Source organism: Homo sapiens, chromosome 1, assembly GCF_000001405.40.
Source record: "Homo sapiens chromosome 1, GRCh38.p14 Primary Assembly".
In the NCBI taxonomy this organism is placed as follows: domain Eukaryota; kingdom Metazoa; phylum Chordata; class Mammalia; order Primates; family Hominidae; genus Homo; species Homo sapiens.
The window spans coordinates 201,982,446-202,010,432 of NC_000001.11; the positions used below are offsets into that span (position 1 = coordinate 201,982,446).

The following is a 27,987-nucleotide window of genomic DNA, read 5'->3' on the forward strand; positions in this document are numbered from 1 at the left end:
TGGGTGGGCAAACGTGGGCCACACGATCCCACCGGCCTCTTTTGTCCTAAGTCCCGAGGCACGGGTGCAGCTAGAAGAGTGGGCGGTAAAGCGCAGGGAGGGGATGCGGTCGGGAGCAGATTTCGGGGGCGGGGCCCGCGCGGCGGGGGCGGGCCCGCGGCGCTCGGGGCGGGGCTCCCCTCGGGTTCGCGGCCCGGCCGGTGAGCAACGGCTCTGCGGCCATGGCGAGCGGCGAGCATTCCCCCGGCAGCGGCGCGGCCCGGCGGCCGCTGCACTCCGCGCAGGCTGTGGACGTGGCCTCGGCCTCCAACTTCCGGGCCTTTGAGCTGCTGCACTTGCACCTGGACCTGCGGGCTGAGTTCGGGCCTCCAGGGCCCGGCGCAGGGAGCCGGGGGCTGAGCGGCACCGCGGTCCTGGACCTGCGCTGCCTGGAGCCCGAGGGCGCCGCCGAGCTGCGGCTGGACTCGCACCCGTGCCTGGAGGTGACGGCGGCGGCGCTGCGGCGGGAGCGGCCCGGCTCGGAGGAGCCGCCTGCGGAGCCCGTGAGCTTCTACACGCAGCCCTTCTCGCACTATGGCCAGGCCCTGTGCGTGTCCTTCCCGCAGCCCTGCCGCGCCGCCGAGCGCCTCCAGGTGCTGCTCACCTACCGCGTCGGGGAGGGACCCGGGGTGAGTGCGCCCCAGACTGCGCCCGCCGCTGCCTGCCTGCCCTTCCGGCCCCCAGCCGCCCTGCACCCTCACCTACCCCACCCGGGAGGAGGGACAGGGAGGACCCTTCCAGAGCGTCCCTAGAGGGGCCTACTCCCCGCGCGCCGCCTCTAGGCCTCCTCCCCTTGCTTCCTCTTTTCCTCCCGGGCTGCCTGGTTTCCTTCTGGACTTCCTCCAGCCACTGGGCGGTGCATCCTTCACCCTTTCCGTCCTTCCGCGTCTCCTCCCTGGCCCTGGAGGCTTGTCCAGATTGCGCCGCATTCCCGCTCATCGCACACTGCCGTTTCTAACATTTTCCGTGGCTTTCTAGATGACCTGTTGTTCATGCACTTCACTTAGTGCCCTCTTGGACTTTTGGGCCGAGGTACCTGATTATCAGCCACCTTATCTCTGCTTTATGGTGGCTCTAGAATTAGCCAGATGTTGATCTAGCTCTTTGTTCTGTGTTGCCTTCTAGTTCCACGGTTAAAGCTCTTATCTTTGTTTTTGTTTCCTCCTGTGAAGTCCTGGATTTGATTAACGAAAGAATTTGAGTAAAAGTGAGAACTGGAATTAGGGTGCTATAAGCATTATAATAATTTGGCCTTCTCACTGTTGGTTAACTCTTTAATTTTTTTTCGGGACGGGGCAAATATTGGAAATAAGAGGATGGAGTTATGTGGCTTATGTCTGTAAGAGTCAGAAAATCCTTCCTGGAGAGTCCTTAGGCTGTGGCTGCCAGTTATCTCTCAGGTAGAGTTGGTTGCAAGTTTCATAGTAAACTGCTTGCTTACAGTTTAATCTTTTATTTATTTATTTGAGGCAGAGTCTCACTCTCGTCCAGGCTGGAGTGCAGTGGCAAGATCTCGGCTCACTGCAACCTCTGCGTCGTGGGTTCGAGCGATTCTCGTACCTCACCCTCCCTAGTAGCTGGGACTACAGGCGTGCGCCACCACACCCGGCTAATTTTTGTATTGTTTAGTAGAGACAAAATTTCACCATTTTGGTCAGGCTGGTCTCGAACTCCTGACCTCGTGATCCGCCTGCCTCGGCGGCCTCCCAAAGTGCTGGGATTACAGGCGTGAGCCACTGCGCCCGGCCCACAGCTTGGTTTTATACATTAGGGAGACATGATACATCAGTCAGTATATGTAAGAAGTACATTGGTTGGGTCTGAAAAGGTGGGACAACTTGCAGCAAAGGCAGGAAGACTTGAAGCGGCTTCCGGATCACAGATAGGTGATACACAAATGGTTACATTCTTTTGAGTTTCTGATGAGCCTTTCCAAAGGAAGCAAATCAGATATGCATCCATCTCAGTGAGCAGAGTAGTGGCTTTGAATAGAATGGGAGGCAGGTGTGCCCTAAGCGGTTCCCAGGTTGAGTTTTCTTTAGTGATTTTGGGGGCCCAAGAGATTTTCCTTTCACAGCCTGATAACACCACTGCACTCCAGCCTGAGCAACAGAGTGCGACCCTGTTTTAACAACAACAACAAAAAAGCAAAGATGATGAGTAAGCAATTTTGGTGGAGGGGGGATGATGGCTAATATTTAATAAGATGAGCCAGGCACTAGTCTAAGTGCTTGACATAGGTTAAATGAGTTGTCTTTCCATAAGTGGTTAATATGGTGCGTGGTACATGGTAAGTAAGCTGTGTTAGCTCTTACTGCTAACTTTTGTATTTCTTTCTTTTTTTTTTTTTTTTTTTTTTTTTTTTTTTTTTTTGAGAAGGGATCAAAAAGCTCCCTACATTGTTCTTTTTAAAAATCTCGTTTCCAGGCTGGGTGTGGTGGCTCACATCTGTAATCCCAGCACTTTGGGAGGCCAGGGCTGGCAGATCACCTGAGGTCAGGAGTTTGAGACCAGCCTGGCCAACATGGTGAAACCCTACCTCCACTAAAAATACAAAAATTAGCTGGTTGTGGTGGCTCACACCTGTAAACCCAGCTACCTGGGAGCCTGAGGCAGGAGGATCGCTTGAATCTGGGACACAGAGGTTGCAGTGAGCTGAGATCATGCCATTGCATTCCAGCCTGGGTGACACAGCGAGGCTCCATCTAAAAAAAAAAAAAAAAAATACTCATTTCCTAGCTGATCAGTAAAAACATCACTGACTGATGGCATTCAATGATCAGTCAATTGATCAATTCTTATTGACTGGTATAGTGGCACCATCTCAGCTCACTGCAGCCTTGACCTCCCTGGCTCAAGTGATCCTCCCACCTTAGCCTCCTGAGTAGCTGGGGTAGCTGGGACCAACCACAGACCTGCCACCTCCACACTTGGCTAATTTTTGTTATTTTTTGTAGAGATGGGGTTTTGCCATGTTGCCCACGCTGGTCTTGAACTCCTGGGTTCAAGCCATCTGCCCGCTTTGGCATCCCAAAGTGCTGGGACTACAAGCATGAGCCAACATGCCTGGCTTAATTGAGCAGCCAGTTCAGAGAGTTCCCATATACAGTTCAGTACCTCCTACATACACATATACACACAGATTCCCCTCTTGCTACCATTTTGCATTAGTATGACACATTTGTTACAATTAAACAATGCTGATATATTATTAACCAAGATTGAATCATTTTACATTAGTATAATAATATATTTGTTATAATTAATAAACCAGTACCGATACTGGAGTCCATAGTTTTTTCAGATTCCCTTAGTTTTTACTTAATGTCTTTTTCTGTTCCAGGAAGCCATCCAGAATTCCACATTATATTTAGCTGTCATGTATCCTCTTGGGACTGTGACAGTTTCTCAAACTTTCCTTGTTTTTGATATAACTTTGACAGTTTGTTTGTTTTTTGAGACAGGGTCTTGCTCTGTCATCCAGGCCGTAGTGCAGTGAGTGGCACAATCATGGCTCACTGCAGCCTTGATCCCCCTGGTTCAAGTGATCCTCCTGCCTCAGCCCAAGTAGCTGGGACTACAGGCGCATACAACTGCGCCCAGCTAATTTTTTGAATTTATTATTTGTAGAGATGAGGTCTCACTGTGTTATCCAGGCTTGTCTCAAACGCTTGGGCTCAAACAAACAATTCTCCCATCTTGGCCTCCCAAAGAAAGTGCTAGAATTACAGGCATGAGCCACTGCTCCCAGCCAGTTTTTTGTTTTTTATTTTTTTATTTTTATTTTTTCTGTAGAGACAGGGTCCCCCTATGTTGCCCAGGCTGGTCTCAAACTCCTGGCCTCAAGCGATCCTCCTGCCTTGACCTCCCGAAGTGCTGGCATTACAGGTGTGAGCCACTGAGCCCAGCCAACCTTGACAGTTTTGAGGAGTGTTGGCCAGGTATAGCGTAGGATGACCCTGTATTGGAATTTATCTGATGTTTTCTCATGATTAGATTGGGATTATGGGTTTTGAGGGGCAATTCACAGAGGTAAAGTGCCATTTTCTTTCTTTTTTTTTTTTTTTTTTCTTGAAATGGAGTTTCACTCTTGTTACCCAGGCTGGACTGCAGTGGTGTGATCTCGGCTCACTGCAACCTCCGCCTCCCTGGTTCAAGCGATTCTCCTCCCTCAGCCTCCGAAGTAGCTGGGACTATAGGCATATGCCACCACCCTGGTTAATTTTTGTATTTTTAGTAGACACAGGGTTTCACTGTGTTGGCCAGGCTGGTCTTGAACTCCCGACCTCAGGTGATCCACCAGCCTCGGCCTCCCAAAGTGCTGGGATTACAGGTGTGAGCCACTGCGCCCAGCCAAAGTGCCATTTTCATCAGGTATTGAGGGCGCATAGTATCCACATGATTTATGACTGTCAGCGTTAACCTCGGTCCCCTGGCTGAAGCAGTGATTATCAGCTTTCTCCACTGTGAAGTTATTCTCTCATCCCTTTCTATACTGCACTGTACCTGTTATAAGGAGACTAATTAAATTTTTCACACACAAAAACTCAAACCCAGCATCCCAACGTAGCTTCCTTATGCCTCTTAAAATAGGTCTCAGACACTGCTGTGTTCAGAACCCTTCATTAGACTTGCCCAGGCCTGCCTCCCCAACTCTGCATCTGGAGCCTGCATCTGTTTATGCCTCTCCTCATGTTGCTGCTCGTCTCCTTGTGAATGTCTCCTCCCTTCCTTTCCAGCCATCTCAATCCTGCGTGTCTTTGAAGGTCCAGCCAGAAAGTTTTCTTCCCCTATGAAATCATCCTGGAGTAATCGAATCCATTTCTAAATTCTAAATGCTATTTGTTACTGACCTATGCTCCATCCTGCCCCTCTTCCAGGTAAATGAATGGCTGTTTGCTATAGGCAAAAACTGGGTTTTGTGATAAATCATTCAGATTTTACTTTTTTTTTTTTTTTTTTTTTTTTTTTGAGGCAGAGTCTCGCTCTGTCACCCAGGCTGGAGTGCAGTGGCATGATCTCAGCTCACTGCAACATCTGCCTCCTGGGTTCAAGCAATTCTCCTGCCTCAGCCTCCTGAGTAGCTAGAATTACAGGTGCATGCCATCACACCCGGCTAATTTTTGTATTTTTAGTAGCAACAGGGTTTTACCATGTTATCCAGGCAGGTCACGAACGCCTGACCTCAAGTGATCCACCTGCGTCGGACTCCCAAAGTGCTGGGATTACAGGCGTGAGCCACTGCACCCAACCCAGATTTGCCCTTTGTTTAAGAGCTAACAGAACACAGATAAAGAATCATATAACCAGTGCCTATTATATAAAATACCTTTCTTCTGAAAAGGTAAATTTTAGGAACAGAAAACACATATTAGGCCAGGTGCAGTGGCTCATGCCTGTAATCCCAGCACTTTGGGAAGCTGAGGCGGGCAGATCACCTGAGGTCAGGAGTTCAAGACCAGCCTGACCAACATGATGAAACCCCGTCTCTACTAAAAATACAAAATTAGTCGGATGTGGTGGTGCATGCCTATAATCCCAGCTACTTGGGAGGCTGAGGCAGGAGACTCGCTTGAACCCAGGAGGCGGAGACTGCAGTGAGCTGAGATCACACCATTGCACTCCAGCCTGGGCGACAAGAGTGAAACTCTATCTCGAAAAAAAAAAAAGAAAAGAAAAGAGAATGTATATTAGGCTGAGCATGATGGCTTATGCCTGTATTCCCAGCACTTTGGGAGACTGAGGTGGGCGGGTTGCTTGAGGCCAGGAGTTGGAGACCAGCCTGGCCAACATGGTGAAACCCTATCTTTACAATACAAAAATTAGCTGGACTTGGTGGTGCACGCGCCTGTGGTCCCAGCTACTTGGGAGGCTGAGGCATGAGAATTGCTTGAACCTGGGAGGTCGAGGTTGCAGTGAGCCGAGATTGCACCACTGTACTCCAGCCTGGGCGACAGAGCGATACTCTGTCTCAAAAAAAAAAAAAAAAAAAAAAAAAACATATTAATCACTGACTCCCAGTTGAGTTCTGCTTTTCTGTGTCTTATCACAAGTCCAAATGCAGTTGCTTCAGTAGTTTTTTGTTTGATGAGAAACTACTACAGTGAAAAGGACACAGATAGGGTACAGATGACAAGATCAGAGGCTCGGTCCAAGGTCTCTGAGATGACCCATGGGATGCAGTGAGGAATGGACCCTTTCTGGTGGCTCTGCCCTGTGAAGTGGATGTCATACTTTGGCATGGATTCCAGGATGAACTAAATACACAGAGGAGAGAGCTTTCTAGTTCAAACCAGACTGGCTGGCGGAAAGGTTTTAAGGATTACCTAAAATTCTCTCATTCCAGCCAGCTCACTTCTCTGGCCAGACTGAGCTCGTGTGGGAGATGTCAGTTCTGAAATGTTCTTCTTTTCGCTTAGGTTTGCTGGTTGGCTCCCGAGCAGACAGCAGGAAAGAAGAAGCCCTTCGTGTACACCCAGGGCCAGGCTGTCCTAAACCGGGCCTTCTTCCCTTGCTTCGACACGCCTGCTGTTAAATACAAGTATTCAGCTCTTATTGAGGTAAGGAGACTAAGGTTAGGTGCACCTGCCCTTGGGATGAAGAAATGATTTCAGATCTATCAATCAGGTCACGTTTCAGTGGTAAATTATTATATCCATTCAGTGGTACTTCTGAAAAATTGCTTACTTTTAAATTCTTCCACCTACTGAAGTTGTATGTAGCCTTCCTCTAAATCCCATCAGTTGAGCACAGATTTAGTTTCTTGAAACCTTTGTGTTCTCCAAGATAGACTCCAGGCCATTATCATCACACACAGGTGGCCGGTCATGCTCTTATTCAAACTAATCAAAAGGAAACTCTCTCCAGGTAAAATCTCCTAAGCTTTCTCTGTTGTCAGGTCCCAGATGGCTTCACAGCTGTGATGAGTGCTAGCACCTGGGAGAAGAGAGGTCCAAATAAGTTCTTCTTCCAGATGTGTCAGCCCATCCCCTCCTATCTGATAGCTTTGGCCATCGGAGATCTGGTTTCGGCTGAAGTTGGACCCAGGTAGGAGACAAAGACCCCACAGGCAAGGTTGGATTGGCCTCAGAGGTGAGGAGGACTCTGACCAGTGGACCTGCTGGGGGGGTTCTTGGGCAGTCTTGGATCCTCTGTCTGAGTCCAGAGCCTTTCTGCAGCTCATGCAGCATGAGCACAGCTGGAGGAAGTGCTCTTTTTCTCCCTGCCTTTCTCACTCCCTCTCTCCAGTTCTAATCCTGCTGCCTGGAATGAGATCATCATCCCTGCTAGCAGTAGCGCTGTCCTGGGCTGCCTTACAGAGGGATGTTGGAATTTAGGCTGCAGTTTTGGGAAATGGATTTTTTTTTTTTTTTGAGATGGAGTCTTGCTGTGTTGCCCAGGCTGGACTGGAGTGCAATGGTGCGATCTTGGCTCACTGCAACCTCTGCCTCCTGGGTTCAAGCGATTCTCCTGCCCCAGCCTCCCAAGTAACTGGGACTGCAGGCATGCCCCACCACGCTCGGCTAATTTTTGTATTTTTCGTAGAGACGGGGTTTCACCATGTTGGCCAGGCTGCTCTTGAACTCCTGACCTCAGGTGATTCACCCGCCTTGGCCTCCCAAAGTGCTGGGATTACAGGCATGAGCCATCATGCCCGGCCTGGGAAATGGATCTTTATTAATATCTTTAAGTTCTAAATGCCCTTCTAGCAGCTATATCCACTTTCCTATCTTTGTACCAAATCTTCCCCATTTTCTTTTGCACGTAGTTCCTGGAAATAACAACTTTGGTATCATTTCCCTCGAAGAGGGAAGTGGACTCTCCTTCCTATCTGCAGCAGATGCATGAGTCTAAGCCTACGGTGAGAGCAATGCCTCCGTGAAGTTACATGGATCTTGTGAAGATAAAAAGGGATTTTGTAAGGTTTCCTGATAAAAGAGGTTTGACCAGGAGTATAGGTTTTTCCTGGCTCTCATATTACCTCCACCATAGCTTAGTCCCAATGTGGGAGCATCACAGGCTGGACGGTGAAGCCGTGACCTTTTCCTGGCACTGTTGCTGTTCTTTATCTCTGGCCCTGCTCCCAGTTCCTAGAGGCAGTGGTGTCCTTGACAACATTAGTTACGAGCCTCAGACTTCATAACTGGGCTCAGTGGCACTGCTGGTATCATGAGTCTTAGTTTCTGGTTATCAGTTGGAATAATAAATGGGATTCCATTGGCATCTGCTCCCAGCGCACACATTCAAAACAATACCAGTCTGGAAAGACAAAGTGCCCTCCTCTTACGAAGGGCTGTCTTCCTAATAGGCAGGGCGGGAAATAACCAAAAGGATGTCATCTTTGCAATAGACAAGCAAGTAGATAAGTAAAGGAACGTCGTTTCCAAGAATACCCTTACTAAGGTTCTACTTGTAAGAGTATGAACTATTAATGGGAAATGAGAGAACAATAGATTCTAAAGATACTGAGTGATAATGATTTCTTTTTATACTGCCTGTAATAAAATGACAACATGGTATATCGAACTAGGTGACAGAATCCACTTAACTGGTGGTAATGCCTTATTCCTTCCGTGATTAAATGGACAGTTCTTGCCTCCTGGGTCACATCGTAGGGTCTTGTGGGGGGTTATTTATTTATTATTTTTGAGATGGCGTCTTGCTCTGTTGCCCAGGCTGGAGTGCAGTGGCGCGATCTTGGCTCACCACAACCTCCGCCTCCTGGGTTCAAGTGATTCTCCTGCCTCAGCCTCCCAAGTAGCTGGGACTACAGGTGTGTGCCACCATTTCTGGCTAATTTTCATATTTTTAATAGAGACAGGGTTTCACTATGTTGGCCAGGCTAGTCTTGAACTCCTGACCTCGTGATCCATCCACCTCGGCCTCCCAAAGTGCTCGATTACAGGCATGAGCCACCACGCCGGGCCGTGGGGGTTTATTAAATCGGAGGGTCTTCTGGCAAGGTATGCCACCTATCCCAGTCCCTGTTACTGCAAGAGGAAAATCCTGGGCAGAGGGGAATTATGGGTATATCCCAGTAGGCCCTTTTATGTATAATCTCTTCTAATCCTTACACAGACTCCATGAGGATGATACTTTCTACATTTTAAAAATAAGCAAACCAAGGCTGTGGTGAGTGGCTTGTGCAGGACCACTAGTTGGCAAAACTGGAATTAAAATTCAGGTATTTCCATTGCAAATCCAGTGCTCTTTGCAATATACTACAGGTAGTGAGATTGCAGCTTGACTGAGAGCATCCTGATTTATTTTGACAGAAATGTGTGTCCTGGTGGAGGTATCTTGGATGACTGTCTTAAACCTTCTAGTTGTAACAAGCTGAAGTCCACTGGGCTGAAGGACTGTGGTAATTTTGACATCCAAGGTGGTGGTAGAACAATTCACAAAGTAATTCCTTGAAGATACTGACTGCCGTCCCATGATCTTTTTCTGTCTGGTTTCCTGTCACATCATCTTTGGCGACTTTTCTCTCCTAACACCCAGGGTTGAGGGTGGCTGCAGGGTTTCTTGTGCCTTTCTCCCTCCCTCCCTCCCTCCCTCTTTCTTTCTTTTCTTGCCTCGCTCTCTTGCCCAGGCTGGAATGCAGTGGCACAATAACAGCCCATTGAACCTCAAGCTACCAGGCTCAAGCAGTCCTCCCACTTCAGTCTCCAGAGTAGCTGGGACCACAGCTACTCTGTCACCATGCCCAGTTAATTTTATTTATTTTCTGCAGGAGCAAGGTCTTGCTATGTTGTCCAGGCTGATCTTGAACTCCTGGGCTCAAGAGATCCTCCCACCTCGGCCTCCCAAAGTGTTGGGATTGCAGGCATGAGCCACAACACCAACCTTCAGGGTTTCTTGACCTCTACTCAGGGAGCCTTCTCCACTCTGTCAGCCACCCATATTCACACCCATGCTCTGGAGTCTAGAGCCTAGACATCGTCATTGTCATGAACTGTACCATATCTGAACTTTTAAGGCCCTTGAGCCCCTTGTCCTCATTCATCCTGACTCTGCTAACCTTCCAGCTCTCTGACGGCCTCTCTCCCACTATATTCCACCATGTCTCCTCCTTGAGCTCATGGCAGCCTCCCTTCCGGCAAGCCACTCATTTCTCCTGGGCAGTCAAGACCCTCCTGACTGGGCTTCCCTCCCTGGCCCAAGTGTGTGGTTGGTTACCTCTTACCAACACCCCAAAGCCCCTTGCCCACTTCCCGCTGCTATAATGTCCCAGTCCCTTGTTATACAATTCCTTTTCTCTACTTCTATAAGTGGGTATTTGGGAGATGTAGAAAATAGTGAAACTACACAGTAATAACCACTACACCTTTCTCAATTCTTCGTGAAAAGTTGGAATTAAAGGAAAGTTGAAATAGACATGTGTGGGGTTTTCCAGAAAAATGTAACAGATGTACAGTCTTCAACTGCAGGTGTGCTTTCAAGGTTGTTCAACAGTCCTCTTATTTACCTTTCCATCTCACTCCCTTTAAGCTGTTCTAAGACTTTACTCTTCTCTTTAAGTTTGCTATCCAATCCCATCCCCTCATTTAAGCAGAAGGTCTTGTCTCCTGTTTTATTGAGAATATTAAATTCATCAGATATGATTATGTCAGTTTCCTGTCCTCCACTTAAAAAGTTATCTTCATCTGCTTTTATCCTTCCGGACTGCAACAAAGGTCCTTCCTTCTGTTTAAAGCCAAATCTCTTCCCTTACATGTCCTCTGGGACTTTGCCTCATCATTTACATCTCTCTCTTCAAATCTGCAGCCTCCCCCTCTAGACAAGCACCAGTTTCTCTAAGATCTATAGCAAAGCAAAAAACAAACTCAAGGCTGGGTGTGGTGGCTCACGCTTGTAATCCCAGCACTTTGGGAGGCCAAGGTGGGAGGATCACCAGAGGTCAGGAGTTTGAGACTAGCCTGGCCAACGTGGTGAAACCCCATCTCTCCTAAAAACACAAAAATCAGCCGGACATGGTGGTGCACACCTATAATCCCAGCTACTCAGGAGGCTGAGGCAGGAGAATCACTTGAACGTGGGAGGTGGAGGTTGCAGTGAGCCGAGATTGCACTACTGCACTCCAGCCTGGGTGACAAAGTGAGACTCCACCTCAAAAAAAAGCCAAAACAAAAAAAAAAAACAAACTCGGCCAGGTGCAGTGGCTCACGCCTGTAGTCCCAGCTACTTGGGAGGCTGAGGCAGGAGAATGGTGTGAACCCGGGAGGTGGAGCTTGCAGTGAGCCGAGATCGCGCCACTGCACTCCAGCCTGGGCAACAGAGCAAGACTCCGTCTCAACAAACAAACAAACAACTCAAAAAACCCTTAACTCCATATTCTCTTCTGGCACGACACACTGTCCTTCCCTCTGTAGCCAGGTGACTTCAGTGGCATGTATACGCACTGGCTGCACTTCTTGAAACCCCCCCACCCCACAATCATTTATTGCTACAACCCATTGGAATCCAGCCCCCCACCCTTGCCATGCCGTTGAAACTAGTAAGAGAGGCCATTCGCCTCAATACGGATAACATATGTGATGCTTTTTAGCCCTTGCCTTCATGTTCTGCTGTTTTTCTTCTGCCCCCATTGACCCTCCTCTGGCTTCTGTGACACCACCCATGCTGGTCATCAGGCCTCCTGGTTAGTCCTTTTCTCATCTCCTTCCCTGACTCCTCTGCCCAGCTCCTTGTGTGTCGATGTTGCCCAAGGCTCTGTCTTTGACCTGTTCTTTTCTTCTACATGCTTTCCTTGGAGAGCTCACCCATTCTTGTAGTTTAACATATTTTCTGTGTTCTGCAGCCAGGATGATATCTTAAAACTAAATCTGATAATGTCACTTGTTGGCTTAAAATGCTCCCATGGCTCTGAAGGTCCGGTTCTGTAACAGTGCACCTGAGGCTCTTCATGACCCGACCCTCTTGGGCATCTCATGTCCCACCTCCTGCCACTGCCTCCCTCATTGCAATCTGATCCTGTCCTCAAGTAATCCCAGACTCTCGGTGCTTCCTCACATGCATATGCAGTGTTCCATGGCTACGTCTTTGCTTTTGATATTTGGGAAGTACCTGATACTGGTTTCCCTGTATCTTTTCTTCCTGTTAGAATAGTTCCTATGCTTCAGCAAACGCAGAGGAAGTTTTCCCTCATCCGGGCCTGGACCCATCCCACTTTGCCATCAGTCTCTTTTTTTTTTTTTTTTGAAACAGAGTCTTACTCTGTCACCCAGGCTGGAGTGCGATGGTGCAATCTTGGCTCCCCGCAACCTCTGCCACCCAGGTTCAAGCGATTCTCCTGCCTCAGCCTCTCAGGTAGCTGGGATTACAGGCATACACTACCATGTCCTGCTAATTTTTTTTTTTTTTTTTTTTTTTTTTAGTAGAAACAGCCTTTCACCATGTTGGTCAGGCTGGTCTGGTACTCTTGACCTCAGGTGAACCACCCACTTCGGCCTACCGAAGTACTGGGATTACAGACATGAGCCACCAGGCCCAGCCAGTCTCATTCATATGTCTGTGTGGAAAAGCAGTTCTAAGCGCAGCCAGGGGCTCTTGGTCAAGCAGAGCCTTTGGCTGCAGGATCCCTGAGTCCATTGCATCTTTCCATTAGACTGGATCTTCTTGTTTTGTTTTTGTTTTTGTTTTTGTTTCCTCCAAGCCACCTTTGTTTCCCTATCTTTTTATTAAGAAAATTTCAAATATTTAGAAAATTGAAAGGATGATGCATTGAACACCTATAGAACCATCTACTTTGTCATATTAGTTTTATGAGTGGATTTGTTTTTATTTTTGCTAGACCATTTAAAAGCAAGTAAATCTGTGTGCCTCTCTGAAGAATAGAGGCATTCTCCCTTATAACCACAATCCCATTATTGTACCTAAGGCAGTTAACAAATTTCTATTAACATTAGTAGGTTTGGGTCGGACACAGTGGCTCATGCCTATAATCCCAGCACTTTGAGAGGCTGAGGCAGGTGAATCACTTGAGCCCAGGAGTTCAAGACCAGCCAGGGCAACATAGCGAAACCCTACCTCTACAAAAATAAAAAAATTAGCCAGGCATGATGATGTGCAACTGTAGTCCTAGCTACTGGGGTTGGGGAGCTGAGATGGAAGGATCACTTGAGCCCCAGGAGGTGGAGGTTGGATCACACCACTGTACTCTAGCCTGGGCAACAGAGCAAGAACCTGTCTTAAAAAAAAAATAAAAAAGGTTTGTCTCTTAAGGTTTTATTCAATTCCAGATTCTACTATTAGAACGCTTTCTTATCTCTCCTCTAAGTAGGGAGAAGAAAACTAACATTTACTGTATAAATGTTTGAAGGGCTTTTGTGTGTTGTCTTATTTAATCTTCACTCATTTTACAGATGAGGAAACTGAGGCTCACAGAGGTTAAATCACTTTTGCAAGATCGCATTCAGTAGTGAAGCCATAACTGCGTAGCACGGTTCCACCTCCATGAGGCTGTCTTGGGTTCTTGTTTCTCAGGTGTGGTGAGCGGTCTCTTGGATCTGTGTGGTGATCCGATCTTGCACTCCGTCACTGTGGCTGACTGCATTGTCACATTCACTTGGCGGAGGCCAATTTCCTACAGGTGCTTTCAGGATCAGGTCACTGCGATGGTCTCTAAACACCATTCTGCTTTCTCTGCTCTCTTGTCTTTAGGAGCCGGGTGTGGGCTGAGCCCTGCCTGATTGATGCTGCCAAGGAGGAGTACAACGGGGTGATAGAAGAATTTTTGGCAACAGGAGAGAAGCTTTTTGGACCTTATGTTTGGGGAAGGTGTGGTATCACATTGACTCTAGTGTCTCCTGTTAAACTGAGTCACTGGCTTCCATTCTTCCTCTTCGTGTGGCTTTTCCACCTCCTGCCTCCCAGAGCAAAGTTTCCCTGATCCCAGAAGTGAAGGAGAGGAGGAAGAGAGGAGGGTATGAGCCAGGCTTCTCACTGTTGCTGAGGAGAGGGCCTAGGAGATGAGGTTCTTTGTGTGTGTGTGTGTGTGTGTGTGTGTGTGTGTGTGTGTGTGTTTTGAGATGGAGTCTCGCTCTGTCACCCAGGCTGGAGGGCAGTGGCGTGATCTCAGCTCACTGCAACCTCCACCTCCCAGGTTCAAGCGATTCTCCTGCCTCAGCCTCCAGAGTAGCTGGGATTACAGACGCCCTCCACCACACTCAGCTAATTTTTGTATTTTTAGTAGAGACAGGGTTTCACCATGTTGGCCAGGCTGGTCTCGAACTCCTGACCTCAGGTGATCTGTCCACCTTGGTCCCAAAGTGCTGGGATTACAGGTGTGAGCCACCAGGCCCGGCAGAGAAGAGGTTCTTGAGGTGTTCAAAATGTGACCTGCAGTTGCCAAGTTTGAGATGGGGCAGCACCGTCAAGGTCCTTTGTTGACCTGTGTTTTCCCATTGCTGGAAGTTTCCCCACACTCTGTTTTTAACTTTGACATCTTCAGACTTTAGGCTCCTTAGATAAAAGGCTCCAGGTTGGTCTTTATGACCCCAAGTTGGCCTCCAGGGAACTCCATGTGATGGAGCTGATAATACATTTATCACCTCCACCCCTGCTTGGAAGGAGAGAGGGAAACAAATGCCTGGAGAGTGAGCTCCAGGAGAGCAGACACCACCTCGATGAGGGAAGTCCCAGCAAGGCAGGGGAGCCACGTGGGAGAAGCATTGAGGAGCCTGGGCTTTATTTTCCGCACTGGGCCCGAAGTCGTACTCTGCCTGTTTAGTGACTGCATCTGTTAGGGCTTGGAAATAGGCTGGAAAGGGAGGCGAGGTAGGGTCTGCTCCGGGAAGCCAGGGCCTCTTGGTGACCTCCCCGCTTCTCGGCAGGTATGACTTGCTCTTCATGCCACCGTCCTTTCCATTTGGAGGAATGGAGAACCCTTGTCTGACCTTTGTCACCCCCTGCCTGCTAGCTGGGGACCGCTCCTTGGCAGATGTCATCATCCATGAGATCTCCCACAGTTGGTTTGGGAACCTGGTCACCAACGCCAACTGGGGTGAATTCTGGCTCAATGAAGGTTTCACCATGTACGCCCAGAGGAGGATCTCCACCATCCTCTTTGGTAAAGTGCCCACCCCTCTCCTAAGGAGTCTGCCTCCCATTCTTAACCTGTGGGGCCAGTGTGATCTCCTTATGGGGTTTCAGAATACAAGTGGGTGTGAAGAGACGAGGCAGTAGTGTGTATCCAACATTTTTCTGTATGTATGAATTGTCAAACCACACATGGTTTGACAACTGACTTTTTTTTAAAAAAACATTTCCCCAGGTCATTAGTTTTTTTTTTTTTTGAGACAGAGTTTTGCTCTTGTTGCCCAGGCTGGAGTGCAATGGCACGATCTCGGCTCACTGCAACCTCCACCTCCCGGCTTCAAGCGATTCTCCTGCCTCAGCCTCCCGAGTAGCTGGGATTACAGGCATGCGCCACCACACCTGGCTAATTTTGTATTTTTAGAAGAGACGAGGTTTCTCCATGTTGGTCAGGCTGGTCTCGAACTCATGACCTCAGGTGATCCAACCTCCTCGGCCTCTCAAAGTGCCAGGATTACAGGCGTGAGCCACCATGCCCAGCCCATTAGATTTTCTTCTATAGCTGCATATATGGATGTTTTTTAATTTACTGGTTGTTTCCAATTTTCCATTGAAATATGTTGACAAATTTCCTTACACATAAATGTCTATTCATATCAGATGATTTCAACAATGATAAATTCTTAGAAACATAATTTCTGGGTCTGAACTTTTTTTTTTTTTTTTTTTTTGAGACAGAGTCTTGTTCTGTTGCCAGGCTGGAGTGCAGCGTTGCAATCTCGGCTCATTGCAACCTCCACCTCCGTAGTTCAAGCAATTCTCCTGCCTCAGCTCCCCCACATCCCACTCCCTGTAGCTGGGATTACAGGCATGCACCACCATGCCCAGCTAGTTTTTATGTTTTTAGTAGAGACAGGATTTCGGCATATTGGCCAGACTGGTCTTGAACTCCTGGCCTCAAGTGACCTGCCTGTCTAAGCCTCCCAAAGTGCTGAGACAACAGCTGTGAGCCACTGCGCCCGGCCCTGAACGTTTTAAATTACATAGTCTTTTTAGTACATATTGTCCATTATCTTCCAGAAAGTTTGTACAAATTCTGTACTTTCATTCAGAATATATATAGCAAGAGCCTGTTTGTGAATATCTTAATCAGCCATTAGGAATCCTGCAAGCAAATATTTTTATCCCATTGTACAGTTGAAGAAACTGAGGCTGAGAGAGGCTAAGCCACTTACTCAGAGTCAAAACATCTAGGAAAGGGCAGAGCTGGCTGGTTCCAAAACCCTGTGCCCCACCCCTCCACTGTTCCCTCAGTCATTGTTTTTAATGCAGAAGGAGACTTAGAGATCCTTAAAAATTTGGGGTTGATAATTTCTTTTGTCTGACAGAAACAGTTAGATGAAAATAATTCTAAGTTTTCACAGAAGATCAAGTCATTGCCAGGCATGGTGGCTCACGCCTGAGGCAGGTGGATCACCTGAGGTCAGGAGTTTGAGACCAGCCTGACCAAAATGGTGAAACCCCCGTCTCTACTAAAAATACAAAAATTAGCCAGGCATCATGGTGTGTGCCTGTAGTCCCAGCTACTTGGTAAGCTGAGATAGGAGAATTGCTTGAATCCAGGAGGTGGAGGATGCAGTGAGCCGAGATCGTGCCACTGCACTCCAGCCTGGGCAACAGAGCGAGACTCTGTCTCAAAAAAAAAAAAAAAATCAAATCATTTTCTAAAAATAAGGCCGGGGGCTGGGCGTGGTGGTTCACGCTTGTAATCCCAGCACTTTGGGAGGCCAAGGCGGGCATATCACCTGAGATCAGGAGTTTGAGCTTGGCCAACGTGGTAAAGCCCCCTCTCTACTAAAAATACAAAAATTAGCTGGGCGTGGTGGTGCACACCTGTAATCCCGGCTACTCAGGAGGCTGATGCAGAAGAATCGCTTGAACCCAGGAGGAGACGGAGGTTGCAGTGAGCCAAGATCACGCCATTGCACTCCAGCCTGGGTGACAGAGTGAGGCTTTGTCTCAAAAAATAAAATAATAAAATAAATGAAATAAGATAAAATAAAAATACAGTACTTTGATAAGGAAAGGTAACTGTCAGAAAGGTGCGATTCCCCCAGTCCTCACTTAGGAGAGAGACCAACAGCCTGAGTTAACCAAGTCCTTTGTAGCCCACAGCAACAGGGAGCTAGGGACTGAGTCAGGCTCTCTGTAACTGTCCCTATTTGCCCTGGGTCCCCAGGAGGGTAATGTTATTAAGCTTCAGGTATCTGTCGCTGTTCTTCTTGAGGCCACAAGGAGGCAGCACAGTGTCTCTGTCAGGAAAATACACTTGGATGTGGTGACAGACGTTTTCCCGAGGCTTACGTTTGATTCTGCACCAGGCGCTGCGTACACCTGCTTGGAGGCTGCAACGGGGCGGGCTCTGCTGCGTCAGCACATGGACATCACTGGAGAGGAAAACCCACTCAACAAGCTCCGCGTGAAGATTGAACCAGGTCCAGGAGGCTCCTCTGTCTGACACCCACTCCCCTCAATTGAGCTTGGAGCCCCAAGTTAATGCGAACTTCATGTTGATCAGTGCACGCTTAGAATACTTTATTTGGAGGGAGGGGCACTCCAGAGCTCTTTGTAGCCAATTCTCTGGCCCCTGGGCTGACTGAACCCAAGCCATTGCAGCCAGATAGGAGTTCTGTCCAGTCTGTGCGGTTCGTGATGACTTCACCATTGCTTTGCATTTGCACAAGTCCATATCGTTTTACCAGGCTCTTTCGCATTCCTTCATGATCATCAGGGCAGATCTGTGGATTCTGTAGAATAAAAGCATTAGCCTTATTTTACAGAGGATGGGACTGAGTGCCAGACAAGTTAAGTGTCTTGTCCAGGTCATGTACCTAATCAGTGCATGACTGCAACTGAGATCCGGGTCCTCTCTCCAAATTCAGATCTTTTTACTTCCTAACATTTTCCTTCATTCCATGTGTGACTAATCTGAAACCTTTTTATGCAATTGAAGCTCATGTTCCTTGATGCCGTTAAGTTTGCAGATGAATTTCTTAGAGACGGGTAATTAGTTTTAGCCTGGAACAGCTGTAAAAACAACACATTGGCTGGGCATGGTGGTTCACGCCTGTAATCCCAGGTCAAAGCGGGTGGATCATGAGGTCAAGAGTTCGAGACCAGCCTAGCCAATATGGAGAACCCTGTCTCTACTAAAAATACAAAAATTAGCTGGGTGTGGTGATGCACACCTGTAATCCCAGCTACTGGGGAGGCTGAGGCAGGAGAATCGCTCGACCCCAGGAGGCAGAGGTTGCAGTGAGCTGAGATCGTGCCACTGCACTCCAGCCTGGGTGATAGAGCAAGACTCCGTCTTAAAAAAAAAAAAAAAAAAACATTGATCTGGGAGGGTAGGTTGAGTATTTAGGTGGTGACCAATAGGGATGGAAAAGACACAGCTTGGTGCTCAGTGGGAAATGCTGATGGAACCTACCCACACAAAGTGTATCCTGGGACTAAGGAAATGTGTCCGCTCCTCTGGAAGGCTGGTTTCTCTGTCTTCATATTAGATCCACAGTGAATGGCCCTCTGAGATCTTGGAAGTACCTTGAGAGAGGCCAATATCTGGAGAGAGATCTTGGCCTTGAGATAGAGATCTTAAGAGAGAGAGTCTTGGCCTTGAGAGAGTCCAAGATCTGGAGAGAGGCCAGGATCTGGACACCTTCTTGGCCTTGCTGTCCCTGGGGAAGCTGAATTCTGATCTCTTCCATCGCTAGTCTTTGACTGTGGAGCTAGAGAAGAACGTTACGGGTGACAGGCTACAAAAGCTCAAATCTTGTCTGCTTTCTCCTCTGCCAGGCGTTGACCCGGACGACACCTATAATGAGACCCCCTACGAGAAAGGTTTCTGCTTTGTTTCATACCTGGCCCACTTGGTGGGTGATCAGGATCAGTTTGACAGTTTTCTCAAGGTATAGTCACATGAGGGGAGAAGGAAGAGGAGCGGATAAAGCCACTGGGCCTGATCAAGGGTAGAGGCAGGGGGCGAAAGATGTAAGGGGTTGGAGGAGGACCCAGGACACAGAGGGACACCACTCCCCACGGGGCCAGAGAGGGTCTAAAGAGCTTTCCCTCCTCACAGGCCTATGTGCATGAATTCAAATTCCGAAGCATCTTAGCCGATGACTTTCTGGACTTCTACTTGGAATATTTCCCTGAGCTTAAGAAAAAGAGAGTGGATATCATTCCAGGTAAGCAGAGGAACTGGCCCACAGGCTTCTAAAAAATAGTAGAGAATGAGATCTCATTGACACTCGGAAAGATGGTGGTGGATGGGAAAACACTGGGTCAGAGTCAGCTAGGTAGGGGCGTTTTGGGAAGCAAACCCAGAATCCTGGGATTTATTCCACAAGAATGACTTCTTTTCACTCCTCTCTGCCTCATTTTCTCCCAGTCTGTTTCCTTACTCTCTCCTCTCACCTGGACACACAGTCAGACCCTTAACTTGCCTGGAGAGCTGCCACTGCTGCCGCACCACTGCCCCAAGCTAAAACTCACAGGGCAGGAGCGGAGGCAGCACCCCTCCTACAGCCTTCTGAGTGAAGGCAACCCCAGTGGCCCTCCTTATTTCTTTCTTTCTTTTCTTTTCTTTTTTTTTTTTTTTGAGATGGAGTTTCGCTCTTGTTGCCCAGGCTGGAGTGCAATGGCACGATCTCGGCTCACCGCAACCTCCGCCTGCCGGGTTCAAGCGATTCTCCTGCCTCAGCCTCCCGAGTAGCTGGGATTACAGGCACGCGCCACCACGCCCGGCTATTTTGTATTTTTAGTAGAGACGGGGTTTCTCCATGTTGGTCAGGCTGGTCTCGAACTCCTGACCTCAGGTGATCCACCTGCCTCGGCCTCCCAAAGTGCTGGGATTACAGGCGTGAGCCGCTGTGCCCAGCCGCCAGTTTCTGCCTGGGAGGTACCACTTCCAAAGAAAAAACGAAAAATGTCCTGTCATGGAAGACACAATCCATTAGACATACCCCCACTTCTTGCTGTGACCTGAACCTTGAGTCACTCTATTGTTGGTTTGATGAAGTCCGCGTCCTCTGACAGTAGGATTGGTCAGGACTTTAGCAGCACCTACTGTTCGGTTGGAGGCTTGCATTTTAATGCGGGGACTCCGGAGCTAATGGTAGTTAATAATTCCAGAGTACTTACTATGCATCAGGCGATACGCTAAGCTTTTAATGTTTATTTGCTCATGTAATCCTCATAACCATCACGGAGGCAGGGCCTATCACCCCCACTTTATAGATAAAACTGAGGTGCAGAGAGGTGAAGTAACATGCCCGTGGCCTCCCAGCTGGTTAATGACAGAGCAGGGGTAGGAACCCAGGCAGCCTGGTCCTAGAGCCTGGGTGCTTAAGTACAGTGTGGTTGTGATCGGTAGGAGAATGTGCACGTGAATAGAGCATCCACCAACTTGGCTCTGACAACACAGTGCTAATTTGGAGCGAAAAGCACTTTCACGGTCGAAACGGCACAGTCTCTAGATGTCGTTATAACTAGGACCCTGCTGGAGCGAATAGTTACATGGGAAAGTAATGTTAAATGCTGGGGAAAGAGTTTGGGATGGAGAGAGGAGAAACTTGAGGTCTCTGGGAGTTGCTTAAACCAGTTGACCGTAACCTGGCCAGAGAATTCTGATAGTGTCTTCTCTCCTCCCAAACAGGTTTTGAGTTTGATCGATGGCTGAATACCCCCGGCTGGCCCCCGTACCTCCCTGATCTCTCCCCTGGGGACTCACTCATGAAGCCTGCTGAAGAGCTAGCCCAACTGTGGGCAGCCGAGGAGCTGGACATGAAGGCCATTGAAGCCGTGGCCATCTCTCCCTGGAAGACCTACCAGCTGGTCTACTTCCTGGATAAGATCCTCCAGAAATCCCCTCTCCCTCCTGGTAAGAAAAAATGGTGAACCAGGGCTCCTTGTGTGCACAGCTTTATGTCAGGGGCTAGAGGGAGGCTCACAAAAAGTAGTGATGCTTGCCCCTAGGGAACTGCCACGTACACTAGGGAGGCTGGCACTCCACAAGGAATGTGCCACCGGGAGGTTATGGGTTAGGGGACTGCCACGTACACTAGGGAGGCTGGCACTCCACAAGGAATGTGCCATCGGGAGGTTATGGGTTCTACTTACAAGCACCTCAAGGACAAAGTCACAAAGCCTGGCATTGCTCAAGTCCGAAGCTCCTGCAGGCGACTCTTGTAAGGCTTTTGTGTCTATTAAGTCATTTAATTCCCACAACTCCTCTGGGAAGTAGGCGGTGTGATGTTAATACCCAGGTGACAGAATGAACTTGAGGTACAAACAGTTCGCACAGAACCCAGTCATCCAGAGCTCTCAACCTCTAATGCTTTGTGGCTGCTCAGTCAACATAATATTCACCAAGGGGTTAAAAAAAAGTTAGAGCCAAGATGACTTTTAGCAGATGAGTGGTAGGAGAAAAAATGGGACAGATATTGGGGGAATATGTCTGCTTTAATCTTGCTCTGTCGACCAGGCTGGAGTGCCGTGGTGCTATTGGCTCACAGCAACCTCCACCTTCTGAGTTCAAGTGATTCTTGATTCTAGCACCTCAGCCTCCAAGTAGCTGGGATTACAGGCGTGCGCCACCACACCCGGCCAGTTTTGTTTGGTATTTTTAGTAGAGATGGGGTTTCGCCATATTGGCCAGGCTGGTCTCACATTCCTGACCTCAAGTGATCCGCCCACCTCAGCCTCCCAAAATTCTAGTATTACAGGTGTGACCCACCGTGACCAGCCACAAACCATTTCTTTCTCTTCTCCAGGGAATGTGAAAAAACTTGGAGACACATACCCAAGTATCTCAAATGCCCGGAATGCAGAGCTCCGGCTGCGATGGGGCCAAATCGTCCTTAAGAACGACCACCAGGAAGATTTCTGGAAAGTGAAGGAGTTCCTGCATAACCAGGTGGGTGACCCCTGCCTCGCTGTTCCCGAAAGCACACTGGGACCCACTCGGCCATATGTGAAGTAATCATGTGGGCAGGGCTCATCTAGGACTCATCTGAGGCACAGAGGGAGGGGCAAATGACCTGAGGACCCTACCACTCAGCCTCTTTACTAGTGTGGCTTTGAAGGCATTGCCCTAGGGACAAGAGGAGGCCTGCAGGCTTGCAGTGCTTTCTGCAATTCAGCTGGTGAGACCCCAGGGAAAAAAGCTGGCCAGAGCCAACGCAGAGGCGGGAAAGAGGGTGACAGTGTCATGTGGGAAACACAAGAGGGAAAGGGGCCAGAGGCGGAGCAAGAGGAACAAAGGCTTGGAGGATAGGTCCCTGCTGCCCTGTGACTTGGGCATGATCGGGACAGCAGCCAGACCCTCTGTCACTATGTGAAAGTTGCCCTGTTGGGGAAAGGCCCCGGGCTCTCAGGATGAACTGAATGTCATCAGATTCCGGAGCAGGGAGGGGCTGGACCGGAGACGAAGCATTGCTCTGCATAAAGTCAGGGCTGCCTGCCTGTTCGGGGATATTCTGAGCCCTTTGATGGCTTCCTCAAGGCTCTGGATTTTAGGAACTTGTGATGTCGCTGGCTTATATTTGTGTGAATTTGACCTGTGGGTTGACCTGTGGGTTTTCCTTTGCTTGACTGCAGCTGGACCGTATGCGGCTGTGAGCTTTATGTGCCGCAGCTGCTGATATCTGCTATTCACGTGGTGGCTCACCACCTACACCTTTCCAGAAGTCTGGAATCCCATTGTGTCCACCCAACTCATTCATTTTGTTGACTGTAGACGTCCCCATGTTAGTATGGATTGGGACGCGTATTGAGATCCATCTCCATGGATCTCTGGCGCCCAAGAAGATGCCTGAATTAGAGCACTTCTGATGAGAAGCTCCTCATTCCAGCTGTGATGCCCACATCCCTTTTAGCACCTAGCCATGGCTGCTGTTAGACTGGCACTGGGGGCAGCAGGGCTGGACAGATCCACCAGGCAAGCTTCTTAGGCATGTGTATGTGTGTTTCTTGCAGGGGAAGCAGAAGTATACACTTCCGCTGTACCACGCAATGATGGGTGGCAGTGAGGTGGCCCAGACCCTCGCCAAGGAGACTTTTGCATCCACCGCCTCCCAGCTCCACAGCAATGTTGTCAACTATGTCCAGCAGATCGTGGCACCCAAGGGCAGTTAGAGGCTCGTGTGCATGGCCCCTGCCTCTTCAGGCTCTCCAGGCTTTCAGAATAATTGTTTGTTCCCAAATTCCTGTTCCCTGATCAACTTCCTGGAGTTTATATCCCCTCAGGATAATCTATTCTCTAGCTTAGGTATCTGTGACTCTTGGGCCTCTGCTCTGGTGGGAACTTACTTCTCTATAGCCCACTGAGCCCCGAGACAGAGAACCTGCCCACAGCTCTCCCCGCTACAGGCTGCAGGCACTGCAGGGCAGCGGGTATTCTCCTCCCCACCTAAGTCTCTGGGAAGAAGTGGAGAGGACTGATGCTCTTCTTTTTTCTCTTTCTGTCCTTTTTCTTGCTGATTTTATGCAAAGGGCTGGCATTCTGATTGTTCTTTTTTCAGGTTTAATCCTTATTTTAATAAAGTTTTCAAGCAAAAATTAAGTTACGGATTGAGTGACTATTAAATTTCTTCCACCAGAGGTCCTCACTGTGTTTGTTCAGGAAAGGTCACTGGGGGAGGCCCAGAGAATGACAGTATTTTCCTGTCCTCAGGGAACAGCCAGGGTGAAGGAGGTGGGTGTCCTACACATGCATATGAAAAAAAATATGGCAAAATGGCACAGCTGGTGCAGGAAAATGAAAAAGGAATAGCATTCCAGTTCTCCGTGAAGCAGCTGAATTCTCTATCTGCAGCAGCATTCCCATTATCTTTTCCATCACTAAGAAAAAAAAATGGGCTGGGCACGGTGGCTCATGCCTGTAATCCCAGCACTTTGGGAGGCTGAGGCGAGAGGATCGCTTGAGCCCAGGAGTTTGAGACCACCCTGGCCAACATAGCAGGACTTCATCTCTACCAAAAAAAAAAAAAAAAAAAAAAAAAAGCCAGGCGTGGTGGCTCACGCCTGTAATCTCAACACTTTGGGAGGCTGAGGCAGGCAAATCACTTGAGGTCAGAAGTTTGAGACCAGCATGGCCAACATGGTGAAACCCCATCTCTACTGAAAAAAAAGATAGATGCAAAAATTAGCCAGGCATGGTGGCTCACACCTGTAGTTCCAGTTACTTGGGAGGCTGAAGCAGGAGAAACACTTGAACCTGGGAGGTGGAGGTTGCAGTAAACTGAGATCATGCCACTGCACTCCAGCCTGGGTGACAGAGTAAGACTTCTCAAAAAAAAAAAAAAAAAGCTGGGCGTGGTGGTGCATTCCTGTGGTTTCAGCTACTCAGGAGGCTGAGGCAGGAGGATCACTTGAGCCCAAGAGGTCAAGGCCACAGTGAGTCTTGATTGTGCCACTGAACTCCAGCCTGAGTGACAGAGTGAGACCCTGTCTCAAAAATAAAAATAAAGTGTCTTATGACTTTTTATCTACCCTTCTGCCCATGCCCAAGGCTTCACTGGGCCTCACCTGTCTTTGATCCTAGATAACTATTTGAATGGTAATCAGTAAAGTCTTTAGAACTTAGCACTAAATTCTGATTTCCTGGCCTCAACATGGGGACCTAAACAGTTAGCAATCTGGGTTTGGGAGTGGGATGAGGGGAGGGTTGGAAGAAATATTTAGTGTGTTTCATTTGCCTTTCTTAAATACAGGGCACCCCTGAAACAGGCTTTGTTCGCAGCTCTGCTCTGTCCTCGGATTTAGGTTATCGAACAGGCTTCCTCCCTCCCCTGCACAAGGGTTGGGAATGAGTCGATTTGCTTTCACTCAGCAAGAGCAAGGGACTAGTGGTGACCAAGTGGTAGACTGGAGAGGCCTCTGCCCCGTGGCACACAGCTCCACCATCAGAGAGGGTGATGTGGGTCATAGGTGAGGGATCTGGAGGCCCGGTATCGGAAGAGCTTCTCCAGGCACTGGCATTTTGACAGCAAACTGCTTCCGTGGCTCTTTCAGGACTGTTCCTGGCAATATGTTATTGGCAAGGACTATTTTAGGGCTATCCAGTTGTCTCCCCCTCTCCCCAACCTTTTATCTAGCTTATCAGTAGCTATCTTTCCTTGCTCTGTACAAAAACCTATAGCACCAATAGGCCCAGTAATCATGAAGGGTCAGTGCAAGGAAAGGCTGGAAGCCCTTCCTCTAACAGCCGTGCTGTGACTCCACTAACTTTGTGGGGTCTCCCATTACATAGCGTGGGTATCCTGAGCTGTGCAGCCTGCCTCACTCACCACCTTGGTACCTGACAGGACTACTGGATGTGCCTGTCCTTTTGTAGGACATTCTCCCATCCCAAAGATGAGGCTGTGCTGCCGTGTGGGCAAGCTCTGTGGGGAGAGGGGAGGCCAGTGGGTTGTTTTTGCCATCACAGAATACTGGGAAGCCCCTGGCATCCTGCTCCATAGCTCTCTTCACCACTATCCTGGAACCTTCTCCCCACCCCCATCCCCATGCCTCCAAGGCACTGACCTCAAATCCAAGTCTTTCTCACTTATCTCAAGCTGCCAGCCTGTAGGGATTCCTTATCTCAGCTCCATGTCAGCGGTGAGGAAGCCCCAAGAAGGCAAGGGAGCTGACAGCCTTCTCATTTTTCTCGTACATCCTCCTGTTCACCCCGCCATCCCGGGAGCCCCAGCCAGATGCTCTTCAGGGCAGGGAGCACGTGAGCAGCCCTGGGGCTAGAAGCCGGTTCTCCCACATTCCTGGGTGAGGGACTGGGTGGAGGGTGTGCCTGCCTCAGGCTCCTTGGGGGAGGCCCCCTGAAGGGCTGGGGAAAATCCTACTGAGCCCCAGGCTCTCCTGCCTGCACTGGCCCAGTGCGGGGGCGGGGGGGCGGGGGGATCCTGGACATTAACTCTCTCCTAGGCACCTGGGAGCTTCAGAGAGGAAGAAGGTAAGGTAAGAAGCAGATTCTCTGCGCAGGACTTTCTTAGTCCTCAGGCTATAGAGTTAAAGAAAGAAGTATCTGTAGAAGGTGGAGTCACCTTTTGTTTGAGTAACCGTTTCACCCACCCTGGCTGAGGGTGGCCAGGAACTCCCCAAGTTGTGCATTAATGGAGGGGGGTCACACAGATCCTACATTTTTTTGTTTTTGTTTTTTTTTTTTTGAGACGCAGTGATTACAGGTGTGAGCCACCGGATCCTACATTTCAAATGCATAAAAATCTAGATATGGGCTGGGCGCAGTAGCTCATGCCTGTAATCCCAGCACTTTGGGAGGCTGAGGCAGGCAGATCATGAGGTCAGGAGATCGAGTCCATCCTGGCTAACATGGTGAAACCCCGTCTCTACTAAAAATACAGAAAGCCGGGCATGGCAGCGGGCGCCTGTAATCCCAGCTACTCGGAAAGCTGAGGCAGGAGAATCGCTTGAACCCAGGAGTCAGAGGTTGCAGTGAGCAGAGATCACGCCACTGCACTCCAACCTGGGCGACAGAGCGAGACTCCACCTCAAAACAAAATAAACAAAATACTAGATCTGGAAGAGATCTTAGGGATTATTAAATTCAGACAACCTCATTTTTTATAGATGGGGAAACAAGCACAGACTCCAAGGGTCTCATCCAAGATCACACAGTTGCAGATGCTGGCTACAAGTCTCCTGCCTCAACCACCTGTATTACCCCATTCAGGGTCTCAAGAAGGGTCTATAAGACACTATCCATTGTGTTTCGGGCTGAGTCCATAGAGACAACCACAGACATGGGGGACTCTGCCCACAGGGAAGGCAAGGGCTCTGGCCATGGAGCTGGATGGGAAGACTCTGAAGCCCGAAGACATTGAATCCTGTGCAGGGAAAGAGCGAGGGTTTTGTGTACAACACACCTGCATACCTGGATGTGAATCTCAGCTCCACCCCTTCACCAACTCTGTGTGGCCTGGGCAAGCCATTCTAAGGGAACCCTCCACACTGCAACTTTCATGTCTATAAAATGGGAATAACCATGCATTCCTTACAGGACTTTTTTGGTGTGAGGATTAAATGAGAGAATATGTTGAAAAGTGCTTGGTAAATATATTAATACTATGCATTCCCTCTTCTTTGAATGACGTGACCCAGGTAGTCAGGCTTCTGACCACTAGAGGGCAGCAGAAGGTACTGGAAAACTGGGCCGAGTGAACCAGAGATTAGATGGGGTCCAGAGAGCAGGGATGAACTTACCCGTGTGGATTCTGGCAACTCCGGCAGGGAGGGCTCCAGCAGGCGCTGAGGGAAGAACTTTCAAGCAGAGCCGGGTCTCTTCAGGAGCGACTGCAGCAACCCTGATGCTTGGATGGAGTCCAGGCAGGTGATGGTAGTGAAGACCTTGCCAACAGAGTGGGCGCTGGAGAAGGAGCCCTTTAGTGGGGACCCTGGGGCCACGACTAGGCTGGCAGGCCCAGCCAGCACCAATTAATCCATGAGTATTGCCCAGCATTGAGCCTGGAGCACCTTCCAGCCCCTGGCCAGAGTCCTGGGTGTTCTGGGAAAAACCCCTAAACCTAGTAACTCCTCTCCCTACTAGGCCTCTTTGTTGCTGAATCTCTGGAATTTAGGGGCCAGCAGCTTTCTGACTCAGGTCAGCCAGGGGTTCATGTTCCCTCACTTGCCCTCCCCCTGCCTGGCCCATCTCTGGCCTGGCCCCTGGGAGGAATTTCCTGGGCCAGAGGGCAGCCGAAAGCACAGATGCCCACCCCAGCAACGTTCCCGCCACCTGCCCAGGCCAGTGCCCCGTGCCCAACCCCAGAGGGTGCGGGATGACAGACTCTGACAATCATTAAACCAGCCGGGCCTGATTTCCCAGCACTGCCTGCT

At 49.2% G+C, this 27,987-nt stretch overlaps 1 protein-coding gene, 1 long non-coding RNA gene and 1 other non-coding gene across 6 annotated transcripts, besides 5 other annotated features; 2 read left to right on the top strand and 1 right to left on the bottom strand.

Moving 5' to 3' along the window:
* Positions 109-788: a silencer, noted in NCBI's record as "silent region_1696". NCBI's record gives its function as "represses an Ori minimal core promoter by ATAC-STARR-seq in GM12878 lymphoblastoid cells {active_cell/tissue: GM12878}" and the evidence as "EXISTENCE:reporter gene assay evidence [ECO:0000049][PMID:35858748]".
* RNPEP (arginyl aminopeptidase) lies at positions 203-23,698 on the top strand. 4 transcript variants are annotated; one of them, NM_020216.4, is made up of 11 exons: positions 203-668; positions 6,459-6,599; positions 6,938-7,086; positions 13,702-13,818; positions 14,874-15,109; positions 17,457-17,570; positions 18,931-19,043; positions 19,214-19,322; positions 20,792-21,016; positions 21,909-22,051; positions 23,113-23,698. In NM_020216.4, the coding sequence occupies exons 1-11, from the start codon at positions 222-224 to the stop codon at positions 23,269-23,271; spliced, it is 1,953 nt and encodes a 650-aa protein (NP_064601.3). In that variant the 5' UTR covers positions 203-221; the 3' UTR covers positions 23,272-23,698. The 4 variants fall into 4 exon arrangements, with proteins under 4 accessions (NP_064601.3, NP_001306112.1, NP_001306113.1 ...); NM_001319182.2 differs by lacking the exon at positions 203-668 and adding an exon at positions 916-1,071; NM_001319183.2 differs by lacking the exon at positions 6,938-7,086 and having other exon boundaries at positions 13,702-13,964.
* Positions 3,505-3,679: a silencer, noted in NCBI's record as "fragment chr1:201955078-201955252 (GRCh37/hg19 assembly coordinates)". NCBI's record gives its function as "represses an EF-1alpha promoter that drives an FKBP-Casp9 reporter gene in an ReSE screen in K562 erythroleukemia cells {active_cell/tissue: K562}" and the evidence as "EXISTENCE:reporter gene assay evidence [ECO:0000049][PMID:32094911]".
* Positions 7,254-9,685: an enhancer, noted in NCBI's record as "VISTA enhancer hs2572". NCBI's record gives its function as "enhancer in: branchial arch[3/4]" and the evidence as "EXISTENCE:transgenic organism evidence [ECO:0001131][PMID:17130149]".
* Positions 17,606-27,908, bottom strand: ELF3-AS1 (ELF3 antisense RNA 1). Its single transcript, NR_146472.1, has 2 exons — positions 27,355-27,908; positions 17,606-17,882 (listed from the first exon to the last, which is right to left on the bottom strand). It is a non-coding gene; the product is annotated as an ELF3 antisense RNA 1 (long non-coding RNA).
* On the top strand, positions 20,679-20,791 carry MIR6740 (microRNA 6740). Its single transcript, NR_106798.1, has one exon. It is a non-coding gene; the product is annotated as a microRNA 6740 (primary transcript).
* Positions 21,887-22,529: an enhancer, noted in NCBI's record as "H3K4me1 hESC enhancer chr1:201973460-201974102 (GRCh37/hg19 assembly coordinates)". NCBI's record gives its function as "activates a minimal SCP1, AML or CMV promoter by ChIP-STARR-seq in naive H9 embryonic stem cells {active_cell/tissue: H9 hESC(naive)}" and the evidence as "EXISTENCE:reporter gene assay evidence [ECO:0000049][PMID:30033119]".
* Positions 25,740-26,381: an enhancer, noted in NCBI's record as "H3K27ac-H3K4me1 hESC enhancer chr1:201977313-201977954 (GRCh37/hg19 assembly coordinates)". NCBI's record gives its function as "activates a minimal SCP1, AML or CMV promoter by ChIP-STARR-seq in naive H9 embryonic stem cells {active_cell/tissue: H9 hESC(naive)}" and the evidence as "EXISTENCE:reporter gene assay evidence [ECO:0000049][PMID:30033119]".
* Positions 27,909-27,987: the final 79 nt, after the last annotated feature.

Bases quoted from the DNA above. Each gene is read 5' to 3' on its own strand.
- RNPEP (NM_020216.4), top strand. From the start codon at position 222: ATGGCGAGCGGCGAGCATTCCCCCGGCAGCGGCGCGGCCCGGCGGCCG. The intron at 6,600-6,937 runs GTAAGGAGACTA...CTCTGTTGTCAG, and splicing joins AGTATTCAGCTCTTATTGAG to GTCCCAGATGGCTTCACAGC. The intron at 21,017-21,908 runs GTAAGAAAAAAT...TCTCTTCTCCAG, and splicing joins GAAATCCCCTCTCCCTCCTG to GGAATGTGAAAAAACTTGGA.